This window comes from Homo sapiens, chromosome 2, assembly GCF_000001405.40.
Source record: "Homo sapiens chromosome 2, GRCh38.p14 Primary Assembly".
In the NCBI taxonomy this organism is placed as follows: domain Eukaryota; kingdom Metazoa; phylum Chordata; class Mammalia; order Primates; family Hominidae; genus Homo; species Homo sapiens.
In genome coordinates, this window is record NC_000002.12 from 138503366 (window position 1) to 138531008 (window position 27643).

At 37.1% G+C, this 27643-nt stretch overlaps 1 protein-coding gene across 1 annotated transcript in view, besides 2 other annotated features; it reads left to right on the forward strand.

Moving 5' to 3' along the window:
• Positions 1-27643, forward strand: part of SPOPL (speckle type BTB/POZ protein like) — a 71778-nt gene that overhangs the window by 1596 nt on the left and 42539 nt on the right. The window lies entirely within an intron of this gene.
• Positions 20755-20804: an enhancer, noted in NCBI's record as "active region_16594". NCBI's record gives its function as "activates an Ori minimal core promoter by ATAC-STARR-seq in GM12878 lymphoblastoid cells {active_cell/tissue: GM12878}" and the evidence as "EXISTENCE:reporter gene assay evidence [ECO:0000049][PMID:35858748]".
• Positions 20815-20904: an enhancer, noted in NCBI's record as "active region_16595". NCBI's record gives its function as "activates an Ori minimal core promoter by ATAC-STARR-seq in GM12878 lymphoblastoid cells {active_cell/tissue: GM12878}" and the evidence as "EXISTENCE:reporter gene assay evidence [ECO:0000049][PMID:35858748]".

Here is a 27643-nt window from a genome sequence, read left to right on the forward strand (position 1 = left end):
CAAGTAAATACAAGTAAAGTACTTAAAACAGTACCTGGCACAGGGCAAATATCTGATAAATGCTATCATCACTTCTTGGTTTGACTTGATCTGGCTTGTGGGTAGATTAATTCTAAGACAGGAAGGTGGGAATGGAAAGCTACTTTCTTATTCTTTGACATTTAACAACCTTTTTTGATATAGATAGCATGTATAATTTGTTATTGTATAAATTAATTCCTTCTGATTTGAAAACTACAGGGTTTTAGCCCACCATTTTCAAGGCAGCTAACTACCAAGCTACAGATAGGTCAGTCCTTATTTCAGATGTCTATTTGGAACTTCTACAATTTTACCTTTGTTTTGAGAATAAACAAAGTGAAAGTACTGTGTATAACAGATTCATCATACTGGAAAATGAGATTTTACAGATAAAAGTTTTAGTACTGTAAGTTAAATACTCAAAACTGGTGGTATTCTTCATACTCATCTGACCTTTATCTTCAATCACTACTCGAGATAGAGCTTTGGCTTGTCTTCCTTCAGAAGACTGGTGGCCGTTTTCTCTTAATGTGTTATGTTCATTCATATTCACATGTCTTCTTGGCTTGGTGTTTACAGAATTTTACTCACTTTAAAAAATGCTGACAGTTTTTGCCGTATTTGCTTACCTCTTGTGCACTGTTGCTTACTTATTACATTTTTAAAGGACTCACATTAAAAGATCTGAATAGATATTACTTTTGTGTTGTTTTAAATAGTAAAAGTTTGAAATCACTATTTGCTGTCCTAATTACATGTAAAAATATGTACATATGTAACTATCAAAATAAAAATGTTTTTCCATTTATAGTTTAAAATCATTCTTGTGCCACCATGGAACATGTTCCATACTTGGGGGTGACACTGTTTTTGGTAATGCTGTTCCCTGACCTAGAATAACCTTTGCTCTTTCTCCTGTATATCCAGGTTCTACCTGATTTTCATCTCTCACTGCTTCCACATAGTTCCTTCCAACATTTAGTTTCTTGGCTTTCCTAATGTCTATATCTGCATTTTTGGCCATGAATTTATATAAACAGGGCAGGTTGAAGAAAAATAACTCCCCTAGAATCAGACTTTTAAAGCTTATAGAACTTTGAAAGGGTGGGATAAAATTGACATTTAACATCTACTCTATGCCTGGCACTGTTTCTTAGTTTTGTAAATATTCTTTCCAAAAATATTTAATGAGCATCTACCATGTGCCAGGCATTGGGGATACATGAGAGTGGCCCTTCTCAACCATGTTTCTGGGTGAAAATCAAACCCTAATGCTCTGAGGCATCTAAGCTATGTAATGAATTATCTCATCTCCTGTGCACCTAGAATAGTACTAGCTACGTACCGTTCTTGAGAGAACTAAAGCAGTAGTTACTCCAGTTTTTGTAGGGCTTAATTTCTGCAGAGCCCTAGTTGAGAAAAGCTCCTGTACAGAGAAGAGTAATATGCAGTCTCTGCTTTTTTGTAATTTTATTCTGATGTGGCACTGACAGGCAGTTTATATATATTAACTTATTTAAACCCATAATAATTCTTTAATAAGACTTTTTTATTCCTATTTTACAAATGAGGAACTTGAGAAACAGATTACTTAACTTCTGCAAAATCAGACAGTTGAGAAAGTTTTGCAGCCAGGCAACATAGTTCTCATCTATTACTCTTTTGCCTCTCACACCTTTCACTTCCTTGTTGATTTACTTTAGAGAAGACTCACTTCCTTGTTGATTAGAGAAAATTCTTCACCTTTCTGAATATCTTATTTATTTATTTTTTATAAATTTAAGCTTCACAGCAGAGTTTCCTTCTCTTTTCATGTTGTTTAGTGAAGAAAGTAAAGGAGATGTAACTCTTTTAAAGTACTTCATCAAAAGTCTTATGTCAAGCCTTATATATGATTAAATATTGAAGGCATTTACATTTAGTGGTCATGCTCACTGTTTTGTTTCCTTACTTGGATTTGTTAACTTAACAAAAGTTTATTAACAACCCATCTGTGCCAGTCTCTGGTGACATGTAATGGAAAGAGATTACTTGTATTCATGGAGGCAGAAGTCTGTTTGGGGAATAAAATAAAGAAAAAAAATTATAGGCCAGGTGCCTTGGCTCATACCTATAATCCCAGCACTTTGGGAGGTCGAGGTGGGCTTATCACTTAAGGTCAGGAGTTCAAGACCAGCCCGGCCAACATGGTGAAACTGTGTCTCTTCTAAAAAAAAAAAAAAAAAAAAAAAAAAAATAGTTAGTTGGGTGTGGTGGCACACACCTGTAGTCCCGGCTACTTGGGAGGGTGAGGCAGGAGAATCTCTTGAACCCCAGAGACAGAGCTTGCAGTGAGCTGCACTCCAACCTGAGCAACAGAGTGAGACTCTGTCTCAAAATAAAATAATAATAATTATAAAAATAATTAGTTACCATTACTGCTACAAAGGAAGATCATTGTGAAGAACAAAGGCACACCAATCCATTAGGGAATGCTTCTCTGAAGAAATGACTTTTAGACAGAAACCTAAAGGATGAACTGTAGTGACCCAAGTGATGTTGGCAATTTCAACTTTCTGGACCTGGAAGGTCCAGTAAGAACTGAACTTCAGCACGTGAGGTTGGTTGATGGGGAATAGACTGGAGCAGATCACCATGGCCAAAATCCACGCTAAGCATTTTGTACTTAATCCTAAGAGCAATAGGAAGCCACCAGAGAATGTTAAACAGCTGAATAAGTTACCCAAATTTTTGCTTTAAAAAAATCAGTTGGCTGCTCTGCAGAGAACAGGTTGGAAAGAGGCAAGTGTAAATACAGGGAGACTAATTAAGTCATTGCTTCTCAAACTTGTCTGTGTTGAAGGACCAATTTTGTTTTAATTTTCTATTCATTCTGGTATTTAGTAACACACAATAAGATGTTTGTTTTGGCAGTGTCAAATTGCTGTAAACGTTCCTAAATGCTTTCTCTAGGTTTCTATATTTATTTCATTTCAGACCAGTAGCAAAAGTTTTTGGACCAGTGTCAGTGCACAGGTCACAATTTGAATAGCGTTGAGATTAGCTGTTACAATAATGTAGTCAAGAGTTGGTGGAACCTTGGTTCAGGATGGCAGTGATAGAGATAAACTAGCCTGATTTGACAAATAAATTTTGGGAGGAAAAATTGATAGGATTTAGAGATGGATGAGATTTGGGGGTCCTGGGGAGAGGAAAAGGCTGACTTCCAGGGCCAGTAGTTCTTGTGCCTAAGGTGAGAGTACTGGGGGAGGAGCAGTTTTTTATTTTGTAGTTTCAGGGAAGGGGGAGGTATTGGTCATTTTTCAATTGGAGACTTACTAAACTTGAGACTGAGACATATAAGTAGAGATGCCTAGTAGCAATTGGATGTATAGGTCTGGAGCTCAGCAAAGAGGTTTGGACTGGAAATAAATTTGGGAATAGTGTACAGTTTATAATTGATGTCTGGGAGTGAGGGATGAGATTGCTTAAGGAGATAGTATGGAGAAGATAAGGGGTCTTATGAGTAAGCCCTATGAATCTTTCACATTTGAACTTTGGTAGAAAGAAATGGAACAAAAGAGGCTGAGAAGGAAGAAGCTAGAGGTTGGAAGAAAATTTTGTTGGTATCACTGAAGCCAAGGCAATAGACTGAAAAAGAAGGGAGTGGCCAGTTGAATATTTTGAATGCAACTGGGAAATTAAGTGGCAAACTAAAGAGCATACGCTGAATTTAGCAACATGAAGAAAATTTTATATTTCTGGTTGTCAATACACCCATAAACTGTTTGATGATGAATTTTGTATTAATCTGCCGAAGTTACAATCCTAAATTAAAATAAAATATTAAATCTATAATATGAACCATATCTGTCTTCCTGAGTTCAGACGTGTTTTTAGTATCATCTGGCTGTTCTATAAGTATCTAAAACTTTTCACAGCTTATTCATTCATAGTATGTATTTTTTAAATACTCACTATTTATCAGACACTGAATGCTAGACTTCTAGGTATGGGATTAGAATTCAGAGACTAGGGACCATGAACGATTAAACAAATATTTGTTTTTCTTGTGTGATTAGTGCTGTCGTGGCAGTTTATTCAGGTTGCCTTGGAAGCACAGAGCAGGGGCATCAGGGGAGGCTTTCAAGGAAAATGACCCTTGAGCAGAGTGTTTCTGAAAGTCAAGTTACACAGGTGGAGAAGACGAGTTAAACATAGGTGGCAGAGGAGTTTAAAGAAATGATACTCCAAGTAATTTGAAAGCCTGCAAAGGCAGAAATTGGGGCTAGAGTACACGGGTAGTAGGTTGGAGAGGTTGGCCATGCCATTTAAAGGTTTCTCACTTGAACTTGTATCTTTTTTGGATTTTTTTTATTAATATCCTTACCACCCATATAGTCACTAAATGTGGAGGTATCTTTTTAATATCTTTAAGAATTAAATATTTCTTTGTTTTAGTATTTATTGCCCAAGGTAGTGTTTTATTTTTGCTAGTTAGCTTTACATTATATGTATTAAATCTATACTTACAGGTTCATTCAATAACTGATAGCATAAATATTTTAGTTATATTCCAGTGACTTATTATGGAAGAAATTTTATACATGTAACTTTTTCTCTCAATTTTAGGGAGTTTAAAAGGAAAGCCTTGCTAAGGATTGGTGAAGATGTAGTACTAAACCTTGGGTATATGGTCAATGATGGTGTTTCTGGGCTCAGTAGAATGACAGCCATCCCCTGATAGCTTAAATGTTATTTTAGGTGGTTGTATTACATCAAAAAGTCTACAAATCCCTGGACTTTTCTCTTGGACCATGGGTAGAATACAATTTATCTATAGACATGGATAAACTTTTTGAAGAATACTGTAGTTGGCAAAACCTTAATTGGCAAGGGCAGGGTCTCATAGAAAATAATGGGATAGAAAGGAAAATTATGTTAAAATTAATTTTATTCTTTCTTTATTTATTTTCTATTTTTTTGAGACAGAGTCTTGCCCTTTTGCCCAGGCTGGAGTGCAGTGACGTGATCTCAGCTCATTGCAACCTCTGTCTCCTGGTTCAAACAATTCTCCTGCCTCAGCCTCCTGAGTAGCTGGGACTACAGGCACAGCCACCATGCCCAGCTAACTTTTGTATTTTTAGTAGAGATGGGGTTTCACCATGTTGGCCAGGCTGGTCTTGAACTCCTGACCTCAAGTAATCCTCCCACCTCAGCCTCCCAAAGTGCTGGGATTATAGGCTGAGCCACTGGGTCTGGCCAAAGTGAATTTTAAAAACACAGTAAATGAAAAGTTCTAGAAGACATCCAGTTTATTTTATTTTTTGGCAGAGACGGGTCTCACTGTCTTTCCCAGGCTTGTCTCAAACTCCTGGCCTCAAGGGAATTAAGAAAATTATAACTTTAAAAATTTATTTTTACTAGTTCATACTGGCTTTAAAATCTTTTGCTCTTGCCTTCTCCTTGGTTTTAAGTTTTGTTATGTCTTATATAACAACTGTGTGCTTTTCATGTATTTATTATGGCTCTTACAGGTACCCTTTTAGAGGCGTTTTATCTTTATGTTGAACATAACTATAGCTCCTGTTTGGTATTCTTTATACCTGCTTATATGTTCTAAAAGAGGTCAGGATAATTATTAGCATTATATTCTGAATTGTGTAATACATGAGACTAAACTTTACATAGGTAAAAGCTAGCAGATTAAAATGATTTTTTTATTCTCAAGTATGAAATTTTTGCACCTCAAACCATGGTTGGGACAGGTTAGATAGGAGATACGTATATGTATATATACCTAAAGTGAAGGTATGATGAAGATACTCATCTCTGCAATACGAATATATTTAGAAAATACTCCCCTTCCCCCAACACACACACTTCTTTGGAGTTGGTGTATTTGCTTTCATCCTATAGTAGATAAATAAGTAAAAATATTTAGGGTTAACAATTAAAAACAAAGAGGTGTTTTTATTTTCTGCAGAACTGAAGATTGATAGTATATCTAAAAAGTAGTATGCTTTTGAAATATTATTTTATAGGTATGAGCTGAGATTAAATTCAAAAAACAAAAATAACAAAATATAATGTTATATTTATTGACAAAGAAAATACCATTGTTTCCTGTTTGGGTATGTTTTCTGAAGCAAATTTAACAATTTTTTTCTTGTGTAAAATAGATTTGTATCTCCCCTCCTCGAACCCCCCAGTTAGGTGATTTTTTAAAAAAATAGATTTTATGTTTTTGAAGCTGTTTTAGGTTCACTGAAGAAGTTGAGCAGAATCTACAAAGATTTTCCATACATCCCTCGCACCCATACAGACATAGCCTCCTCCATTATCACCATTCCCCACCAGAGTGACCCATTTTTTAAACTGATGAATCTGCATTGACCCATCATTATCATCCAGAGTGCATGGTTTACCTTAGATTCATGGTTGGTATTGTATAGTATATTCTATGGGTTTGGACAATTTTTATGACATCTATCTACCATTATGATGTCTTTCACAGCCCTAAAAATCCTCTGACCTAGGTCTATTCATTCTTCCTTCCTGCAACCCCTGACAACCATTGATCTTTTTACTGTTTTGCCATTTCCAAAGTGTGTAGCCTTTTCAGATTAGTTTCTTTCACTTAGTATTATGCATTTTAAGTTTCCTCTATGTCTTTTCATGGCTCAATAGCTCATTTCTTTTTAATGCTGAATAATATTTTGTTATCTGGATGTACCACAGTTTATCCATTGACCTACTAAAGGACATCTTTGTTATTTACAAGTTTTGCAGATTATGAGTAAAGCTGCTATGAACAACCTTATGCAGGTTTTTGTGTAGACATAAGTTTTCAGCTCTTGGTAAATACCAAGGACCATGATTGATGGGTAGCATGGTAAGAGTACGTTTAGTTTTGTAGGAAACCACCCAACTGTCTTTCAAAGTGGCCATACCATTTTACATTCGCATCAGCGATGAGTGAGAGTTTTTGTTGTTCCATATCCTTGTCAGTATTTGGTATTATGCTGCTGTTGGTTGAAGTAGTCTATAGATGTCCATTATGTCTAGTTGATTGATAGTGTTGTTGAGTTCAAACTTGTCCTTACTGATTTTCTACCTGCTGGATCGGCCCATTTCTGTTAGAGGGGTGTTGAAGTGTCCAACTACAATAGTGGATTCATCTATTTCTCTTTGCAAATCAGATTTTGCCTTACATATTTTGATGCTCTGTTGTTAAGTACATATAAATTAAGAATTATGGAGAATTTACCTCTGTATCACTTTATAATACCCCTCTTTATTCCTGATAACTTCCTTCACATTAAAGTATAATTAAGTGATCTTTAAGGTAAAGATTGCAATAGTCTCAAGGTGTTTTTTCAGCTGTCATTTGGATATATTTTTTAATGTTTTAGGAAATTCCTCTGTAGTTTTTTATAAGACAAAAAAATGAAATAAAATTAACAGTGAGTATAAATTTGTTCTGAGATTGCTAAAGCAAGTACAAATACAGGAAGCTACCAAATGTCTAAGTGAATTTAATTTCATTTAATTAAATTTTTTTGGTGACAACACTTAGGATCAGTTTAAACCTTTACTAACTGTTTAGGAATTAAGTTTTGGTAGAAAAGCTCAAGTGGGGCATGGGCACACACTAAGCAGATTTGATCATTTCTCATTGCATTTAAAGTGCAACCTTTATCCTGCATGTAGAATTTAAAAATAAAAATAATAAATGAAGTACATCTTTTAAAACATGAAAATACTTTTTCCTGTAAGCATTTTATCAATGGCGTTTGAGAACTGGCTTGAATTGTGGAGTATCTTGGTTTATGCATTAATATTGTTGATGATTTTATTTTCTCAAGTGTCTGATTTATTTTTACTGTTGTCTCTCTGCCTCTCCCTACCCCCAAGTGTTTTATCAACAAAAATTGCATCTTTAAGTTGTGTAATGAAACCAGTATTTTTTCTTAAGAGGGTATACCAGGTGTATTCGCACATGGGCCTGAGAAACTGACAGCTTTCTACAGTGTAAAGATAACCTTTACATCAAATTTCCTTATAGATTATTTTATTAAAAGAGAAGAAGTACCCTTTGTAAAGCACTTGTGTCAGACAGACACTGTGTTGAGTACTTAAGACATTTTATCTCATTTACTTCTAATCACTAACCCATGAGGTATAGATAATACCATAATTTTTTGAATCACAGTTGCTGTCAATTACCAGATGGATTATTATTTTATGTACCGCAGAGAGAGAGAACTGCGGATTATAATTGTAAGATGCTATCAATTTCAGAAATGTTAAAATGTGACAAAAATAGCTGTCTTAGAATTAGTGAAAGGTGGAATTAGTGCTACCTTGTTTTGTGGTTGTCACTCAGGATTCTCAAGACAACTCACCTCCCAAAATGAAGTCAAGTCTGGACAAACGTAGGTCTGCTTTACTCCAGAGCTCTCCAGGCATCAGAGCATAGAGACTAGGAGCATACAGCCACCCTGCCATTTAATAGCTGTATGACTTTAGGGAAGTTACTTAAAGTCTTAGTTTTCTCTTCTGTAAAATGGAAATGGAAATGATAATGGTAAAACCATATAGTTGTTATGAGAACTGAATGAGTTGTATATACATTTATAATGTGCTTTCCATGAGGTTAAATGCTTTGCATATATATTGGTTAATTAAATTGGTTAATTAAAACAGTATTGTTTCTGATCTAAGTAGATGCTTGCTTAAAAGGGAGAGGAAAAGAGCCTTATCAAATGGTTCATTGATATTTTGTGCACATAATGAATATTAAAATTATTAAATCATTAAAATATTGATTTGTCTTTTAAAATTAATGTAAGATTGCAGTCTTGACAATTTTGACATCTAAATTACATTTTTATTTTCATAAAAATAATACTGTATAAAGTTTTAGCTGAAATCTGCTTTCCTTTCATCTCTGTTATGACATATTTAGTCAGAATATTGATGTGCTATGATGGATATCTTGAAAATAACCTGTGATGTAGTTGGGATTCCTGTCAACCTCATAAGAAACTGATTCAGAAATTTTTTTAAAGGGTTTCAGTATTATTGACGCGTGTTTTAATTTCAGTTAAAATATACTGCTTTTTCATTGCACAGTGTATAGAGGAAAGATAATACCGAGACAGTTTTTGTAATAGTTTTATATGCACATGATTTTGTTGGTTCACCTTGAGATTTAAAATCTTGTCATCTTGCTGAACCACAGTTCTATAAAAATAAAATATAATATTTTCGTATACCCTGATAACAAAAATGGGTTAAGACCTTCCTTTGAACTTCTTGCTTTTTCCTTCATTCCCACTTTTGCTTTGTTTTCATTGTTTTTTGTTTGTTTGTTTGTTTATTTTGGACTCACATTATTCATTTACTTCACAAGTAGTTATTGACTGACTGTTAAATACCAGGTCCTGTATTTACAGTGATGAATTGGAAATAGCCCTTGACCTGGAAGAACTCACTATTTGGGATTTATTAAGTGTCTAGTCATTGAGTACTTAGGCATGGTGCCAAGGACTTTATATATACATCTTTTGTTTTAATCCTCGTAACTACACTGCTAAGGTAGGTCAGTGCTTCTTGAATGTTTCTATTAAATAGATGGCAGAGAAGAGGAAATTCTTGGGGAATCAAAGGGAGGTGACAGTCTGAGTGTGGTAATGATGGTGGTGAAGGGGGAGAGCTTTGATGTTAAAATTCTTTTCAATTTAGTGTTTTCTCTTACAAATGTTTTGAGGCCATGATGGCTCACGCCTGTAATCCCAACTCTTTGGGAGGCCAAGGCAGGAGGATTGCCTGAGGCCAGGAGTTCTAGACTAGCCTGGACAACATAGCAAGACATTGTCTCTATAAAAAATTTAAAAATTAGGCCGGGCATAGTGGCCCACGCCGGTAATCCCAGCACTTTGGGAGGCCGAGGCCGGTGGATCACCTGACGTAAGGAATTTGAGACTAGCCTGGCAACATGGTGAAACCCCGTCTCTACTAAAAATACAAAAGTCAGCCGGGTGTGGTGGCACACACCTGTAATCCCAGCTACTCGGGAGGCTGAGGCAGGAGCGCTTGAACCTGGGAGGCGGAGGTTGCAGTGAGCCAAGATTGCACCACTGCACTCCAGTGTAGGCGACAGAGTGAGATTCCATCTTAAAAAAATGATAAAAATAAAAATAAAATTAAAAAATTAGCCACATGTTGGTGTTGTGGTGCACGCCTGTAGTCCCAGCTACTCAGGAAGCTGAGGCAGGAAGATCACTTGAGCTCAGGAGTTTGAGGAGGCAGTGAGCTATGGTCTTGTCACTGCGCTCCAGCCTAGGAAATAGAGCTAGACCTTACCTCAAAAAAAAAAAAAAAAAAAATTGGCTTTTGCATTCTGTTAACATACCTTTCTTTGTTTTGATATAAACAAATTTTTAATGTAAAAAAATTAATTAGCATGAGGGAAGATTCAAAAAAGTATCCTGTCCCAATTTTAGGGTAGAGGGAATATGGTACTGGGAGCAGGATTTTATTATACACTTCAGGGCATCAAGGGGGCTCATTTATTTGTTAAACTTTTTTTGCTTTTTTATTTTAAGTAAACTTTTGAAGTGTAACATGCAAAGACATGCACATATCATCATACAGCATGTATGGTGTTTTATCCTGGCTTCTTACCTTAAACATACATATATGGTTATGTGATCCATAAACCCCGAATATCTGAAACAGGTCTCAGTTAATTTAGGAAGTTTATTTTGCCAAGGTTGAGGACCTGCGCTGGGGTAACAGCCTCAGGAGGTCCTAAAAACATGTACCCAAGGCGGTCAGAGCATGGTTTGGTTTTATACATTTTAGGGAGACATGAGACATCAATCAACATATGTAAAATTAATATTGGTTTGGCCCAGAAAGGCAGGACAACTCGAAGCTGGGAGAGAGGGCTTCCGTTTGAGTTTCTGATTTGCCTCTCAGAAGGAGGCAATCAGATAATGCATTTAGCTCAGTGAGCAGAGGGGTGACTTTGAATACAATGGGAAGCAGGTTTGCCCTGAGCAGTTTCCAGCTTGACTTTTCCCTTTAGCTTAGTGATTCTGGGGTCCCAAGGGTTTTTTCCTTTCACAGATTCAAGCATGTTGCCTGTAGCAATAGTTTATTCTCACTGCTTCATAATATTCCACTGTATGACTCTGTATATCATGATTTATCTGTTTTACTGTTAATGGACATCTAGGTTGTTTCCAGTTTGGGGCCGTCATGAATAGAGTCCCTGTAAAATATCCTTGTATTCCTGTCTGTGCATGTCTTTTGGTCCCATGTGTGCATTTCCCTGGGTAATGTACCTTGTAATATAATCACTGGGTCATATGTGTGCCTTGTTCAGTTTTAGTATAACCCAGTGATTTCCAAAGTTGTTGTACCAATGTATAACCTCATCAGTAGTAGATGAGAATTTCTAGTTGTCCCACATACTCTGGAACATTGGCTTGATATTCTGTCTCATATATTTAGCCATTCTGGTGGGTGTAACATGGTATTAAGTTGTGGGTAGGCTATTTTCTCAAAATAAACATGATTCCTTTCCCTACTCCTACCCTTGGTCCCCTCCTTTGTGAACACCAGGGGAACGTGGAACAGACACCTGTATATTTTCATAAAACCTATCAGATGATTCTGGTCACCTTGCCAGTTGGTAAGATGCAGAATATACAACAAATTTAAGTATAATTTAAGGAAAATGAGACGGTCATGAAAATTATAGCTCCGCAGTGTAGTTTATTGACTTTCTGACAAATAGTGCACTTCTAACTTGATAAACATGGATGAGTTTTAAGATTTTGCAAGCTGGTGAAAAGTTTTGTAGGCTTTTTTATTTGACTGAGTGAGTTTGCAACATTGGCCCAAAGCTCTAATTACACAATGCTGGAATGCGCTTGTTCTTACTTGACCATCTACCCAGATTGCAGGTTGTGTTCATTCATTATTCTGTGGGGTTTTGCTACAGTTGAAAGAAGGGGAACACTATATGAGCAGATCTTTCTCAATTTTCAGAACTTGAAAAAAGTTGGCAGAATAAATTTTACCATTTCCTCACAGCATGCTGTGTGTTTTTATGTCTAATTTCTTGTTATTTGTGGAGTTTTTCTTTTAAATTTCACAGAAGTGTTGCTAAGCTGTATTTTTTGTCATTTTGTAGTGAAAATCCAAGAGTGCAAAAAATATTTTTCCCTTGAATCCTTTTCAGTGTTAAGATTGTAATTCTTTTCTCATTCCTTAATCATTGTAGATTATGTTAGAATCATATGTAGAGAAGTGTCATTCCTGTACCTTTTGGGGATAATATTTGTTGATTTCTTCTTTTAAGATATGCACATCGACTCTTAACTCCAGATAAGCTCATAGTTTTCCCTTTCTACATTTTATATGCCTAACTTTTTACAGCTATTATTTTTATAACTGGCTTCATTTCTTACTGCTGCAAAGTACTGTTTTAAGGTAGAGCAGCCATTTGGTAAATACTTGTGCTCTACATATTCAAAAGTATTTACTGATTATTGCTAGTCACAGGACTATTGGAATTATTAGCTCATCATCAGAAGAGCTAAGATGTCATTCATTATTTGTAAGATTTTTATTTTGGAATAAACCTGTTTGATGGCAATTAGCTAAAAAACAAAAAAAACAGAAGTACATGTTTAGTGAAAGCATAACTTATGAAGCTGCTATTCTGCTTTTTAAGATTTTTTTACAGCATTGTTCATCAGCTCAAAGAAGCAGATAGTGGGTGGTTAGATTGATATGGAGTGGAGGGTTTACAGGATGGTTGCGGTAAAAGAACAAAGGAGTGAAATGTTAACCATGCTTGCTAGAGCGTCTTTGAAGTTGTGATGTATTGTGGGTTTGAGGTTTGACGAGGAAGGAAGTGAAGGCATAATGGGAATAATGACTTAAAAAATGGGAAGAGGCTAAGGAAGTATTGGTAATAAGAGATATTGAGGGATTAAATTGATGACAGAACAGGAATAAGGTCTGTTGTAAAAGATACACTGAGGTTTATTTTCAGAGTTGGTCAAGCTATTCTAGCTAATAAGTTTGTTTGGAAAAGATTGCTATAATGTTATGTGGGTGAGATCATTCAGGAATGTCAAGGAATTTGATGCTGGTAGGTTGAAAGTCCACAGGGTGCACTCATCCAAGGTGATGATAGAAATAGTGAAGAAAACTGTGGAGGGAGACAAGTACTGATGAAGTCCTTAATAAGGGAACCTAACTACCAGTAGAAGAGGTGAGCCCATGATAGCCAGGGAAAAGAGGGGAAGAGGGTATAGCATTTGACTCACACAGTTGCCAAACAGTTTTGGAAGAAGGCTGGAAAAGTGGTCTGGAAACAACATCAGGGAGTTGAAAGAACTCTTAATTGCTCCATATTCCTTTTTTCTAGATCCTTCACAGGTGTAAGAAAAGAATATTATTTGAGCAGTTCTGGTTTATCTGCTTTAATTGAGTATTTACCTCCTTGACCTTATCTTCATAATCTTTGTTTCACCAGTGCCTGACCTATTTAGGTACTTTATAAATGTTTGTTCCGTAAATGCTAGACAAATGTGAAGTTGTGCCAGTGTCCTGGAATTCTAGAACAAAGAGCATTGCTTAGACATTTAAAAAACTGATTTGAAAACTAGTAAAAGAACTGTTACTTTAACACAATTATATTTTCAAAGTATGGAATTAAGTACCATAACTATGAGACATGTTTGTGTTTACAGGCATAATACGGGAAATAAATTACATAATTTTTTACATAAATAGGTGGATGACAGGTTCTTGATGGATTATAGAGGGTGGTTGGGATGTTAGAGAGAATATTCTTGATTTTTAGAGGTTGGCAGGAGTATTGTGGAATCGATGCATATCTTTTAGAACTTCCGACAATTATTACACCTCTGATCTCTGACTGCTGCTTACTTTGTTGTTTCCTTTCATTGGAGCATTAGGCTTTTGAGGATTGAATCGTAGCAGATTAATTTTGGGGCAAGATGGGTAAAGAAATCTTCAGTAATTTTAAGTAAAATATTTCTTGCCGGGTGCGGTGACTCACGCCTGTAATCCCAGCAGTTTGGGAGACTGAGGCAGGAGGATCGCAAGGTCAGGAGATCGAGACCATCCTGGCTAACATGGTGAAACCCCGTCTGTACTACAAATACAAAAGATTAGCCAGGCGTGGTGGCGGGTGCCTGTAGTCCCAGGTACCTGAGAGGCTGAGGCAGGAGAATGGCGTGAACCCAGGAGGTGAGCTTGCAGTGAGCCAAGATCGCGCCACTGCACTCCAGCCTGGGTGACAGAGCGAGACTCCGTCTCAAAAAAAAAAAAAAAATCTGACCTAGGCCAGGGCACGGTGGCTCATGCCTGTAATCCCAGCAGTTTGGGAGGCCGAGGCGGGCGGATCACCTGAGGTCAGGAATTTGAGACCAGCCTGGCCAACATGGTGCAAAAATACAAAATACTAAAAATACAAAAATTAGCTGGGTGTGGTGGCGCACACCTGTAATCCCAGCAACTTGCAGGGCTGAGGCAGGACAATCACTTGAACCTAGGAGGCGGAGGTGGCAGTGAGCCAAGATTGTGCCATTGCACTCCAGCCTGGGCAACAAGAGCGAAACTGTCTCAAAAAAAAAAAAAAAAAAAGAAAAGGAAAAAGAAATTCTGACTTGGTAAATGAAGAAGGAAGAGAAATAATGAAGGCAAATGACTCTATTATGATTTTGTTAAAAAAAAAAGAAAGAAAACTTTGGAAGTGGCGGAAGCTTTAATAAAATGTTTAGCCAAATTGTTCTGAAACAGAAAAGGTTGGGGAAGAATGAGAGAAGGGAGAAGGAGAGAACATAGTTTTTATTATAGATGAATTTGTTTTAAAACTAAGGTAAATTTGAAAAATGCTTAGGGTTAATATTAGTAGATCCAGAATTTGCAATAACTGTGCAGGAACTACCCTAAGTATAGACCTTATCTCCTGTAATACTCCTGTAATATGACTTTTATGAGTGAAGAATTATTCTCTTTCTGAAAATGAGAAAATTAAGGGCCAGAAAAGGAAAGTAACTTGTTCAAGAGTATAAAACCTAAGTTTCTTTAATTTACAAAGTTTTATACACAGACTTTACAGATACATTTCAGTGAGTTTCGAAGGAGGTATTCACCATTGAAACAACAGCCAAATCAAGATATAGATCATTTCCATTACTCCAGAAAGTTCCCTCAAAGGTTATACAATTCCTAACGGACATGTTAGACATCAATCTGTCTTTTTCCAACTGCACATCCACATTGCTTGTATTAAAAGGCAGATTGGAGCTACTAGAGATAAGCAGTGTGAGAAGAGCAGAGTTAATAGCTGGTGTATACCTGATGGAGAGCCAAGCAATTAAAGTTTAAACAGCAAGAATAAAACCTTTAAAACTATATTTGGACAAATTTAACTCTGCTGTCTTTCATAGTTCCCAAGATTATTTCTATTTTGTAAACAAGCTCTATCTTTGAGTTTTATATTGATACTCATATGAATAATTTATTGAGTGCTTTCTATTTACCGGACACTGTACTAGGTGTCTTCTGTACATTCCCATTCAATATACCAGTCATTTGAGATAATTACCATTTATTATTCCCATATTATAGACAAGAAAACTGAGACCCAGAGACCTTACACTGCTTTGGGATTGAACCCAAGTCTGATATCAGAAACTAAACTTTTAACTGTGATGGTGTTCTCTGGATCATTCTGTAATACTAAATTATTTTTGGTGCTTTATTTTAGAAGGCATTAAATTATGTACTGTTTTGTAAACATTAATTCTTTACTAGTGGTTGACTTCTTATCCAGTCAGCATATCTTTGCTTACTTTCTGTCACATTCTATACTAGGCAGTGGTTGCATAAAGATGGAAATATAGTAATCTCAAGGAGCTTAGCATATTTGATGAATTGGAAAAAATCATAGTGTTTTCACTTAAAAATTCTGGATTCAATTTCTGATTTGTTGGGCTTTAAAAAAAAAAAAACAACTCTGTGACCTTAAGTAGCATTGCTTTTCTGTGTTTCAGTTTCCCTATATGTAGAATAGAAGTAAATACTTAACAGGTTTGTCTAGAGGATCAAATGAAATATTGTATGTGAAGAATAAAGTTTAGGTGGGAGGATCACTTGAGCCCAGGAGTTCAGGACTGGCCTGGGCAACATAGTGTGACCCCGTCCCAAAACAGACATAAAATTATGCAGGTATGGCATGCACCTGTAGTGCCAGCTACATGGGAGGCTGAGGCAAGAAGATTGCTTGTCTGGGAGGTCAAGGCTGAAGTGAGCCATGATCATGCCACTGCACTCCAGCCTGAGTGACGGAGTGAGACTCTATCAGAAAAATAAAATAAAAATAAATTTTTAAAAAAGTAAAGTTTTAATGTGTAAAGCAAACTCTTACAGATTATTATACTATTAACTACAATACATTTGATTAATTCTGTATGGGTGGCATTTTTTGTGAAAGTTCCAGGTAGCTAGGGAGTAATTTTTACCCAGGAAAATGGTATAGGGACAAAGGGTGGTTAGTGAAAGTTTTACGGAAGAGGTGACATTTAAGATTAAAATGCAGTGTTGGTGCTTAAAGAGATAAGGTTAAATTATCTGTCACTAGTTGAAATAACCTCCTCTATGAGCTGAGTAAAAGAATGTTACTATAGTTTATAAACTAGAGCTTGAATTAAATTGACTAAAAATTTTGTTATATCAAAAATGTATACTTTTCTATTCCATAATGTTTTATAAAAGACTAATTATGCATAGGTAATTTCTGATTCCTTCTGTCTTTTAAGAGCTTTAAGCCATTGCTGAAATTTGCAAAACTTTGTAGGCCAGTGCTCAAGTAAATTTGTTTTTAGAGACTGTAGTGAACTTGAAGGTACTGCTTTGGCATTAAGAGTATCTGGATGATCCTGTTCCTTTTATCGTGTTTGTGTTGCTTAAAAATATATACATACCTGCGTACATACATGTACACAGACATACATTTGGGTCACAACATTTGGTTTCAGCTATTTGTAATTTTTACCAAAAAAGGCATGGTCAGGTTTTGCTATTTTGTTTATTCACTTAAGCACATTGGAAGTTGTAGAAGATTTTATCTGGAGGACCTCTGAGAGCTAGTTCAAATTATGAGGTTAGAGGCTGTCTTTGTGTTGTTCTTCCTTGTTTCTACATGGCCTACATTAGTGTAGGTTCCCCCAAAATACTCAAATGGGTCAATGAATAAGAGAGAAAGAGAGTGAACAAATGAATGAATGATTTTTTAAAAAAAGAAGAGGCTGTGCAACTTTCCGTTGTGAGTAGTCACCTAACTGCTAGTCTGGCCCATTGTAGTTTACTACCCTGTTTATATATTACTATAATTTGAAATCTTACCTCTTATAACTGTAGTTATAAACTGTGATGCTAACTGAATAAAGTTGATTTTTAAAAATCCTAATACTGTATAAGACTATTAACATAGGTACACTGGGCTTCGTCTTTTCTTATATGCCTTGTTTATACAATATTATTAATACATAATAGAAAAAATTGGACTTGTCACAACTAGCATGCCATATAAATGTAGTTGTTTGCAAATGATGATTGTAAAAAATGGTTTCCAGAGATCCAGAATATCTTTAATATGTTATGCTATAGGAAAAGTAATCAGGTTCTGCAGTGACCTGTAGTTGGTATTTTAAAAGAAGGTAATTGCAGTGTGAGGAAATTATTTGGTGATGTTGAGTAAATCTTAAACTAGTTTATGAATCTGTATTAACTTATGGTGGAACTGGACAGAGTTTAGCAATTCTTGCCTCCAGTTCTGTCTATAGCCAGAAGCTCAGTGATGTGCCAAAGAATACATAGCCTGAAATGTGAAATGGGTAGAAGTAGAATCCAAGTATCTCAGCACGTGGACCCCAGAGCTTTTTTTTTTTTTTTTTCCATTTTTACTGTTGCCATGGAAAATGACATTATGCCTATATCTAGAAATGTTGTTAGATGATTTCTTGCTTTTAATCTTTTCTTTGAAAATACATTAAAGCAACAGAAATGAAATGATTTTGTGGCGTTATATTGTGTACACAGGGGTTCACTCTTAGTTTAATTTTTAGTTGTTTTTTTTGTGTGTGTGGGAGAACCCTGGCAGTAAGTGACAAGGCAGCAGTAAACAGAGGCTCTAAATCTTCTCTTTTATAACAGCATGTGTTAATAGCTTTTAGGAATTATCAAGTAGAAAAAGAGTTGTTCCAAAAATATCTGGAAGTCTTTACCCTTGTAAACTTTTCATGTATCTATAAAATGTAATTAAAACTACCTCCTTGCTTTCAGTGTTGGAGAATGTTGTGGATTTCAAAAGAGATTCCCTAACATTGGAATAAGACCCCCCAAAAAAGAAGTTGAAAGTAAGCCAGTTCCTTAGCATAGTACCCAAGTAAAATGGAAGACTTATTCAGAGATGGAGGACAAATGAACACCTGGGGGAATGATGATGAGTTTTTTGTGTGTGTTAGCGGTATTGACAGCTTCCTAGTTCAGCCTTCAGACTAGAACAGAGGTTCTTAGTGTGAGATCCCAGGACGACCTGAGACTTTGTTAGAAATGCAAATTTGGGAAGCTGACCCGGACCCGCTGAACCCTTAACACCCGGATTGAAGCCCAGCATTTTGTTTTAACAGGCCCTCCAAGGTAATTCTACTGCACACTTAACTTTGAGACTTACTGCCCTAGAAAAACAGAAAGCCTTAAGGTCTACCATTGTAATCACTTGAGGGGGGATTGTTGCTTTAGGACCACATGAAATTGCCAATATTCTGCCTTTGACATACAAAAATGTCAGTGTCATGTAATTCAACCTGATACAATTGACTGAAAAAACCTGTCAGACTTTGAAGGGAGGTTGCCTTTTGCTTGGGGCAGAGAGCTCACACTACAGAATAGCTATTTCACTTATGCCTCAAGGACCCAGGTAAGTAAACTATAAGGTAAATGAAGGTATTTGTTCACCCCCACCCTTTTTTTTAAAACTGGGGTCCTGTGTAAATATATTACCAACGCCAGTTACTTCAGTGTACACATCCCTCCCTTCCTTTCCCCCAGCTCTGTTGGCTTCCCCTTTAAATAGAAATATATATAACTAAGAAGAAGGAATATTTTTTCCTGTCCTTAGCCAATTTTTTTTTCTTGAAGGTTCAGCTGTTGCCATTACTGCATCTTTAACCACCCCCTCTTCTTGCCCCTGCACATTCTTTTCTATAGCAGTGGTGTCCAGCTCTGCCACTTAGTCTAATCAGTCTTCTGAAAGACACAGCTGTTTCTATTTCAGAGACGAGCCTATCCATTTAGTACACATTTTAGTCAACTTTAAGTAAACTGGTTTTGAGTAATTAAAACTACAAGATGGACTTTCTGTTTTCACGTGTAGGTCAAAATTAGCTATTCCATTAATTCTCTCAAAACACGTAACTAGCCCCCTTCCTTTTTCATTTTATTTTTAAACCAACACTGAGTGTTGTGCTAGGCTTTGCCTTACAGAAATTAATAAACTAGAGATGATATTATACTTAGGTAATACCACAGCCATGCACATAAACTCTATAGTAAAAGACAATAAATGAAGTAGACTAATGAGGGTGTATATTAGTCCGTTTTCACACTGCCTATAAAGACATACCTGAGACCGGGCAGTTTACAAAAGAAAGGTTTAGTTGGACTTACAGTTCCACGTGGCTGGGGAAGCCTCACAATCGTGGCAGAAGGCACATCTCACATGACAGCAGACAAGAGAAGAGAGCTTGTGCAGGGAAATTCCCGTTTTTAAAACCATGAGATCTCATGAGACTTACTGTCACAAGAACATCACGAAAAACACCCACCCCCATGATTTAGTCATCTCCCACCAGGTCCCTGCCACAACACATGGGAATTATGGGAGCTATAAGATGAGATTTGTGTGAGGACACAGAGCCAAACCATATCATTCTGCCCCTGGCCCCTCTCAAATCTCGTATCTTCACATTTCAAAACCAATCATGCCTTTCCAACTGGTTTTGAGTAGTTAACCCCCAAAGTCTCAACTCAAAAGTCCACAGTCCAAAGTCTTATCTGAGACAAGTCCCTTCCACCTGTGAGCCTGTAAAATCAAAAGCAAGTTAGTTACCTCCTAGATACAGTGGGGGTACAGGCATTGGGTAAATATAGCTGTTCCAAATGGGAGAAATTGGCCAAAACAAAGGGGCTCCAGGCCCCCATGCAAATTCAAAATCCAGCAGGGCAGTCAAATCTTAAAGCTTCAAAATGATCTCCTTTGACTCCATGTCTTGAATCCAGGCCATGCTGATGCAACATCCTTTGGTCTCAAGCAGTTCTGCCCCTGTGGTTTTGCAGGGTACAGCCTCCCTCCTGACTGCTTTCACAGGCTGTTGTTGAGTGTCTGCGGGTTTTCCAGGCGCACGGTACAAACTGTCAGTGGATCTACCATTCTGGGGTCTGGAGGATGGTGGCCCTCTTCTCACAGCTCCACTGAGAGGTGACCCAGTAGGATTCTGTTGGGGGAGGGCTCTGACCCCACATTTTCCTTCCTCACTGCCCTAGCAGAGGTTCTCCATGAGAGCCCCACCCCTGCAGCAAACTTTTGCCTGGGCATTCAGGTGTTTCTATACATCTTCTGAAATCTAAGCAGAGGTTCCCAAACTTCAATTCTTGACTTCTGTGCACCTGCAGGCTCAACACCACATGGAAGCTGCCAAGACTTGAGGCTTCCACCCTCTGAGGCCACAGCCTGAGCTGTACCTTGACCCCGTTTAGTCACAGCTGGAGCGGCTGGGACCCAGAGCACCAAGTCCCTAGACTGCATAGGGCAGAGGGACCCTGGGCCCAGCCCATGAAACCATTTTTTCCTTCTGAACCTCCAGGCCTGAGATGGGAGGGGCTGCTGCAAAGGTCTCTGACATGCCCTGGAGACATTTTCCACATTGTCTTGGAATTAACATTTGACTCCTCATTACTTATGCAAATTTCTGCAGCTGACTTGAACTTCTCCTCAGAAAATGGGATTTTCTTTCCTATCACATTGTCAGGCTGCAAATTTTCCAAACATTTATACTCTTTCCCTTATAAAACTGAATGCCTTTAACAGCACCCAGGTCACCTCTTCAATGGTTTGCTGCTTAGAAATTTTTTCCACCAGATACCCTAAGTCATCTCTCTCAACTTCCAAGTTCCACAAATCTCTAGGGAGGGGCAGAATGCCACCAGTATCTTTGCTAAAACGTAACAAGACCCACCTTTGCTGTAGTTCCTAACACATTCCTCATCTCCATCTGAGACCACCTCAGCCTGGATTTCATTGTCCATATCATTATTAGCATTTTGGTCAAAGCCATTCAACATGTCTCTAGGGAATTCCAAACTCCCTATCTTCCTGTCTCCTTCTGAGCCCTCCAGACTGTTCCAGTCTCTGCCTGTTACCCAGTTCCAAATTCCCACATTTTCCTGCCTCCTTCTGAGCCCTCCAGACCGTTCCAGTCTCTGCCTGTTACCCAGTTCCAAAGCCACTTCCACATTTTTGGGTATCTTTTCAGCAGTGCCCCACTCTACTGGTACCAGTTTACTATATTAATCCGTTTTCATGCTGCTGATAAAGACATACCTGAGACCAGGCAATTTGCAAAAGAAAGGTTTAATTGGACTTACAGTTCCACGTGGCTGGGGAAGCCTCACAATCATGGCAGAAGGCAAAAGGCATGTCTCACATGGTGGCAGACAAGAGAAGAGAGCTTGTGCAGGGAAAGTCCCGTTTTTAAAACCATCAGATCTCATGAGACTCATTCACTATCATGAGAACAGCATGGGAAAGACCCGCCCCCATGACTCGTCTCCCATCGGGTTCCTCCCACAACACATGGGAACTATGGGAGCTACAAGATGAGATTTGGGTGGGAACACAGAGCCAAACTGTATCAGGGTGGTACAAGTGTTTCACATGAGCTGACTGGCAGTCAGTAACTGATTTCAGTTTTCCAGATAATTGACATACTGTGTTATATACTGCTTTTTTTTCCTACTTAATAGTGCTTTTTTAAAAATAGAAGTTGTGGCTGGGCATAGTGGTTCACACCTGTAATCCCAGCACTTTGTGAGCCAGGATGATTGCTCAGGGCCAGGACTTTGAAACCAGCCTGGGTAACAGCAAGACCTGCATCAGTATAAAAAGTAGAAAAAAAAAAAAAAAAAATACACAAAAAACAATTAGCAAAGTATGGTGGCACATGGCTGTATTCCCGGCTACTCAGGAGGCTGAGGCAGGAGGATCTCTTGAGCCTGGGAGGTTGAGGCTGCAGTGAGCCTTGACTGTGCCACTGCACTCCAGTCTGAGTTAGAATGAGAACCTGTCTCAAAAAAAAAAAAAAAAGTTGTAATTGTATCAATTTTTGCATTACATGAGAGAGTAGAGACAATAGGGTATCATCCATTCTCACCTTCACTCCCAGTTTTATTGTGCTTGCTTTTACTTGTGTTAGTGATTTCTATAATGTTCTATATGTCCTTTATTAGCTCTAGATAGTATTACCCATGTTTCTGAATCATAGTCTTGTTCCTTTCCTTACTCCTTCAATCTCCCAGTTTTAATTAGTTGTTAATTTTGCATCATCAAGGTATTTGCATTTTGTTCTGACTATAACTTTTTTTACTTTTTAAATCAATTCTAATGATTTTTTAAATCTAGAAATAGATGATTATATGAATATTTACTTTAGAACAAAGTGGAATGGACCCACAGAGTATGAAATGTAATCCTGTGTACATGAAAATTTCATCAATTGAAAATTTTCCAAGTGGAAAATTCTAGTGGATTCTCATCTGATTGTTGTTGTTTCCTACTTTTCCTCTAAGGTTATTCAGCTCTGTTGTCTTCACTTCCATGTTTTCTTCATTTGGTTAGAGCTGTGGTCTTTAAAATGAGACATTCGTGTAAAAGGCACACAAAATAATTTAGGGGAGTATCAGGATTTATTAGAAATTAAATTGTGTGTTAATTTTTATCTGTAATTTTTAATTTTTTAGTATGTTTTACAATACATATATTAATATAGTGATGTATATATTTTATAAAACTATACTGAGAGTATATTCTGATTTTTTTTACTCGTAAGGGTGTGCCATACAAAAAAATTTAGAGTTTAATTGGGTTCAGAATACATTTTAAATATAGGATGTCAAACTTTTCAAGTATGTGTTGTCTGAAAATGTCCTTTATTTGGTCCTCATTCTTAAATAGAGTATGGAATTTTTTTTTTTTTTTTTGAGACAGCGTCTCACTCTGTCACCCAGGCTGGAGTGCAGTGGCACAATCTTGGCTCACTGCAACCTCCACCTCCTGGGTTCAAACAATTCTTCTATCTCAGCCTCCCAAGTAGCTGGGACTACAGCACCTGCCACCACACCCGGCTAATTTTTGTGTTTTTAGTAGAGACAGGGTTTTGCCATGTTGGCCAGGCTGATCTCAAACACCTGACCTCAAGTGATCCACCTGCCTCGACTTCCCAAAGTGCAGGGATTACAGGCAGCAGCCATGGCACCCAACCTGAGTATGGAATTCTAAGTTCAGCTTTTTTTTTCTTAACAGCATTTACCCCTTGCCTTAATACAGTATTCAGATTTTAGTCTGACTTGTTCCTTTGTAGATAACATAGAAGTTTTAGGATTTTCTTTTTTTAATGGAATTTTGTAGTTTTATCCAGATGTGTCTAGGTATAGATCTTTTTTCAGTAATCATTCTTGGCAGTTGATGAGGCCTGTCTATGAACTTGTGTCTCCCTTCAGATTATGGAAATAATCTTGTGTTTTTCTCTTTATATATCTCCGTTGTTCCTAGTCTTACCTTCTTTAAGATCACCTGTCAGATCAATACTGGACCTCGTCAATCTGACCCACAGTTCCCTCATTTCTCATATTTCCTATATTTGTGTTTTTAATCTGTCTCCTCAGAAGTTGTCTTTATCTTTTATTTTCTATTAATGCATCAGTTATGACTATATTATTATTTATCTTGCACATTAAACTTATTTTGTCATTTATTTTTAATCAAGAAGTCTTAGTTTCTGACCACTTTTTCAAAGCAGCTTGTTCTTGTCTTATTCAATTGTACTTTAAGAGAAATTTTTTAAAAGTATACCATTCAGTCCCCTGAATTGTCTCCATTTCTATGAGAGTTCTTTGTTAATTTTTTTCTTCCCATTTTGGACCTTCTCTTTTATCTATTAGTTTTCCCCAAATGTCTGTTATCCTTGGCTTTCCGTTCATATATTAGGATGAGGGACTGTGTTGCTAAAAGATGGTATCTGGCTGTCATGGTTTTCAGGGCAGTTGTGTAGATCTGTTTCCCCAGCATCCTCTTCCTTGAATGGGAAGGTTATGGACACTTTCGGTACAAGTGGGCAAGGTGTCTCAACGTGATGACTTCCCTGAAGTTGCATGCGTAAGCTGGGAACTGTTACACATGTCAAAGTAAGGAGGGCTTTATTTTGTGTGGGAGAGTGCTCTATTTGATTTCTGTTAGAAGTTATCTTTTCTCCTTATTTTTCTTCGCATCTCATTCCTAATGTCTGCTATGATATTGAGAGTTAGTCCAACCTGTATCCTGTTTGTCTCTCAGGAATTGGCGCTCTCACAAGAGACATACCCAGACAGGTGTCCCTCTTCCTTTAGAGGGCAATTGTTGGGCTTTGGCGTGATGGTAAAAGCTACAACTGCCACCCTTGGGGAAGGGTAGAGCCCCAGCTGTCTCATCTAGCCTAAATACTGTTTCTAAAATAATTACTCTGAGGCTTGCCACTTGGCCTTTTCCTGCTCTTTGTGTATGTGATGAAAGGTTAGTTTTTCTTTGGGCCTCCTTGAAAGAAACATGGATACTTACAGTACCCTGGATTGTGATTTATCTACCTTTATATCTCTGCTAATTTATTGCCGTTCCTCTGACTTGAATTTTTAAAAATGTCTGATGTACCAGTGTCACACCCTTTCTTATTTTCTAACGTTGTTATTGGTTTATTTTTTTGTAAAAATTTGTTGTCATCTCATTGAGTATCGTGTTGGGAAATAAAAGAGATTGATAAATGTGTTCATTTCACTGCCTTGAACCATATGCATTTTTCTCAAAGTTCCGTCTTGGGTGCAGTATGTGACTCAGGTATCTAGAAATCAGAAAATTACTAGAAAAACTGTATACTTTGTCACATATGAATTGATAAGACAGTATGACTCCCTTTTGTTCTGGGTTATTAAAACTAAGCATTATCTGTTACTTACATGCTGGAAAGGACATGTCTTAAAGAATTTAGTGTAAGCTTGGACTCAAATCCAGTCAAGCACTGCCAAATTTTAGTGCTAAGACTTTGGGTAGGTTACTTTGCATTTTTGCGACCTAGTTTACTTATCTATAATATTGATAGAGGCAGTTATTATCTTCTTCTTAGAGTTAATTTGAGAATCAATTAGATAAATACTTAAGCCTGGCATATTGAAAACCTTTAGAAAAAATCTGTTCTCATCGTTTTTAAATTGCCTCTCTTCAGGAAAATGTTATTTATACATTTTAGATAGCCCCTTCCTTATAGTACAGATAAGTTTCTGCAAAGTTGGCTGTGAAGCAGATTATTATAAAACAAATTTCAAAATAGTTCTCTTTGTAATATTTGGGGAGAAAAATTATGAGTTGAAAGCTCTTGGTGAAGAAGTTTGTTAGTGGCTTGCTGGAATGAGTAGAAAGTATACTTGCAGAGAGAAGTTAGCTACTAGAAATGGTTGTCCCTCTTAGGAAGCACCTGCTGGAATAGTAGAGCTCTTTGCATAATTGGGCTCATAGGAAGCCAATAAGTAATACCCATCTCGTATCATTTTTCTCTGTGTACTTCTATAAAGCCATAATGAATATGATGTATTCTTTATGGCCCTTTTGAATATGTTTTTGACCACCCCGTTTCCATATTGTACTTCATTGTTACCTTGGTCATAAATGAACTGTTTGTGTAGGTATGTGTGTGTGTGTATGCATGTGCCTGTGTGTGTGTGTGTGTGTGTGTGTGTGTGTGTGTGTTTGCGTGCGCGCGCGCTTCTGCATTCTCCTTTTTCATTAGTCAACTTCTCTGTTTTTCCACTAGTACCACTCTGTCATAATTACAGTTGCTATATTTTAGGTTTATGTTTTCTACTTCTAAGTCTTTCAACTTTGTTGTTCATGATTGCTTTGGTATTCTTGACCCATTTGCATTTCCATGTAAGTTTTAGAATCAACTTGTCAGTTTCCACAAAAAGCAGCATTGGGATTTTTATTGTTATTACATTGAGTTTATATGTTAGTCTGAAAATACATAATTTTTTTAAACTTTTATTTTAAGTTCAGGGGTACCTGTGCAGGTTTGTTATATAGGTAAACTCCTGTCATGAGGGTTTGTTGTACAGATTATTTCGTTACCCAGGTATTAGTTAGCCTAGTACCCATTAGTTCTTTTTCCTAATCCTCTCCCTCCTCCCACGCTTTACCCTCTAATAGGCCCCTGTGTATGTTGTTTCCTGCTATGTGTCCATGTGTTTCCATCTTTTAGCTGCCACTTACAAGTGAGAACCTGTGGTATTTGGTTTTCTGTTCCTGTGTTAGTTTGCTAAAGATAATGGCCTCCAGCTCTATCCATGTTCCTGCAAAGGATATGATCTTGTTCTTTTATGTGGCTGTGTAGTATTCTGTGGTGTATGACATTTTTTTAATCCAGTCTACCATTGATGGCATTTAGGTTGATTCTATGTCTTTATTGTGAATAGTGCTGCAGTGAACATATGTTCACTGTGTGTGGACACATGTGTGCATGTGTCTTTATGATAGAATAATTTATATTCTTTTGGCTATACCCAGTAATGGGATTGCTGGGTCGAATGGTAGTTATGTTTTTAGGTCTTTGAGGAATCGCCACACTGTTTTCCACAATGGTTGAAGTCAGTCTGCATATATTGAAATTGATGTCTTTAGAATAATGAATTTTCTAATTTATGAATACTGTATATCCCTTCATTAATTTAGCTTACCTGTACTTTCTCTTAATATCATTGTGTAGTTTTCAGTGTAAAGATGGCATCCTTCATTAGATTTATTTCTAGGAAGTAGACTTTTAAATTATACTTTGGTATCTTTTAAAATTTTTGCTTTCCAATTGTTGCTAACATAAAAATATAATGGATTTTTATATGCTGACTTAGTATACAGCATCCTTGACAAACTTCCTTGTTATTCCTGTTAGTGTGTCTGACTTAAGCATGTTAACTGTGAATAGTGACCGTTTTCTTTATGCCTTTCCAATTCTTATGCTTTTCATTTATTTATTTTTGCCTTAAGGTACTGGATAGGACCTCTAGTACATGTTGAATGGAAGTGGTAGTAGTGGTCTTCTTGCCTCATTCCCGTTTCTCAGGGAAACCTTACTGTAGAGTGAGTGTGTGTGTGTGTGTGTGTGTGTGTGTGTTTTAAGACACTTTTAAAATTAAGGATTTATTCCTGGTTTGTAGCGTTTTCATCTTG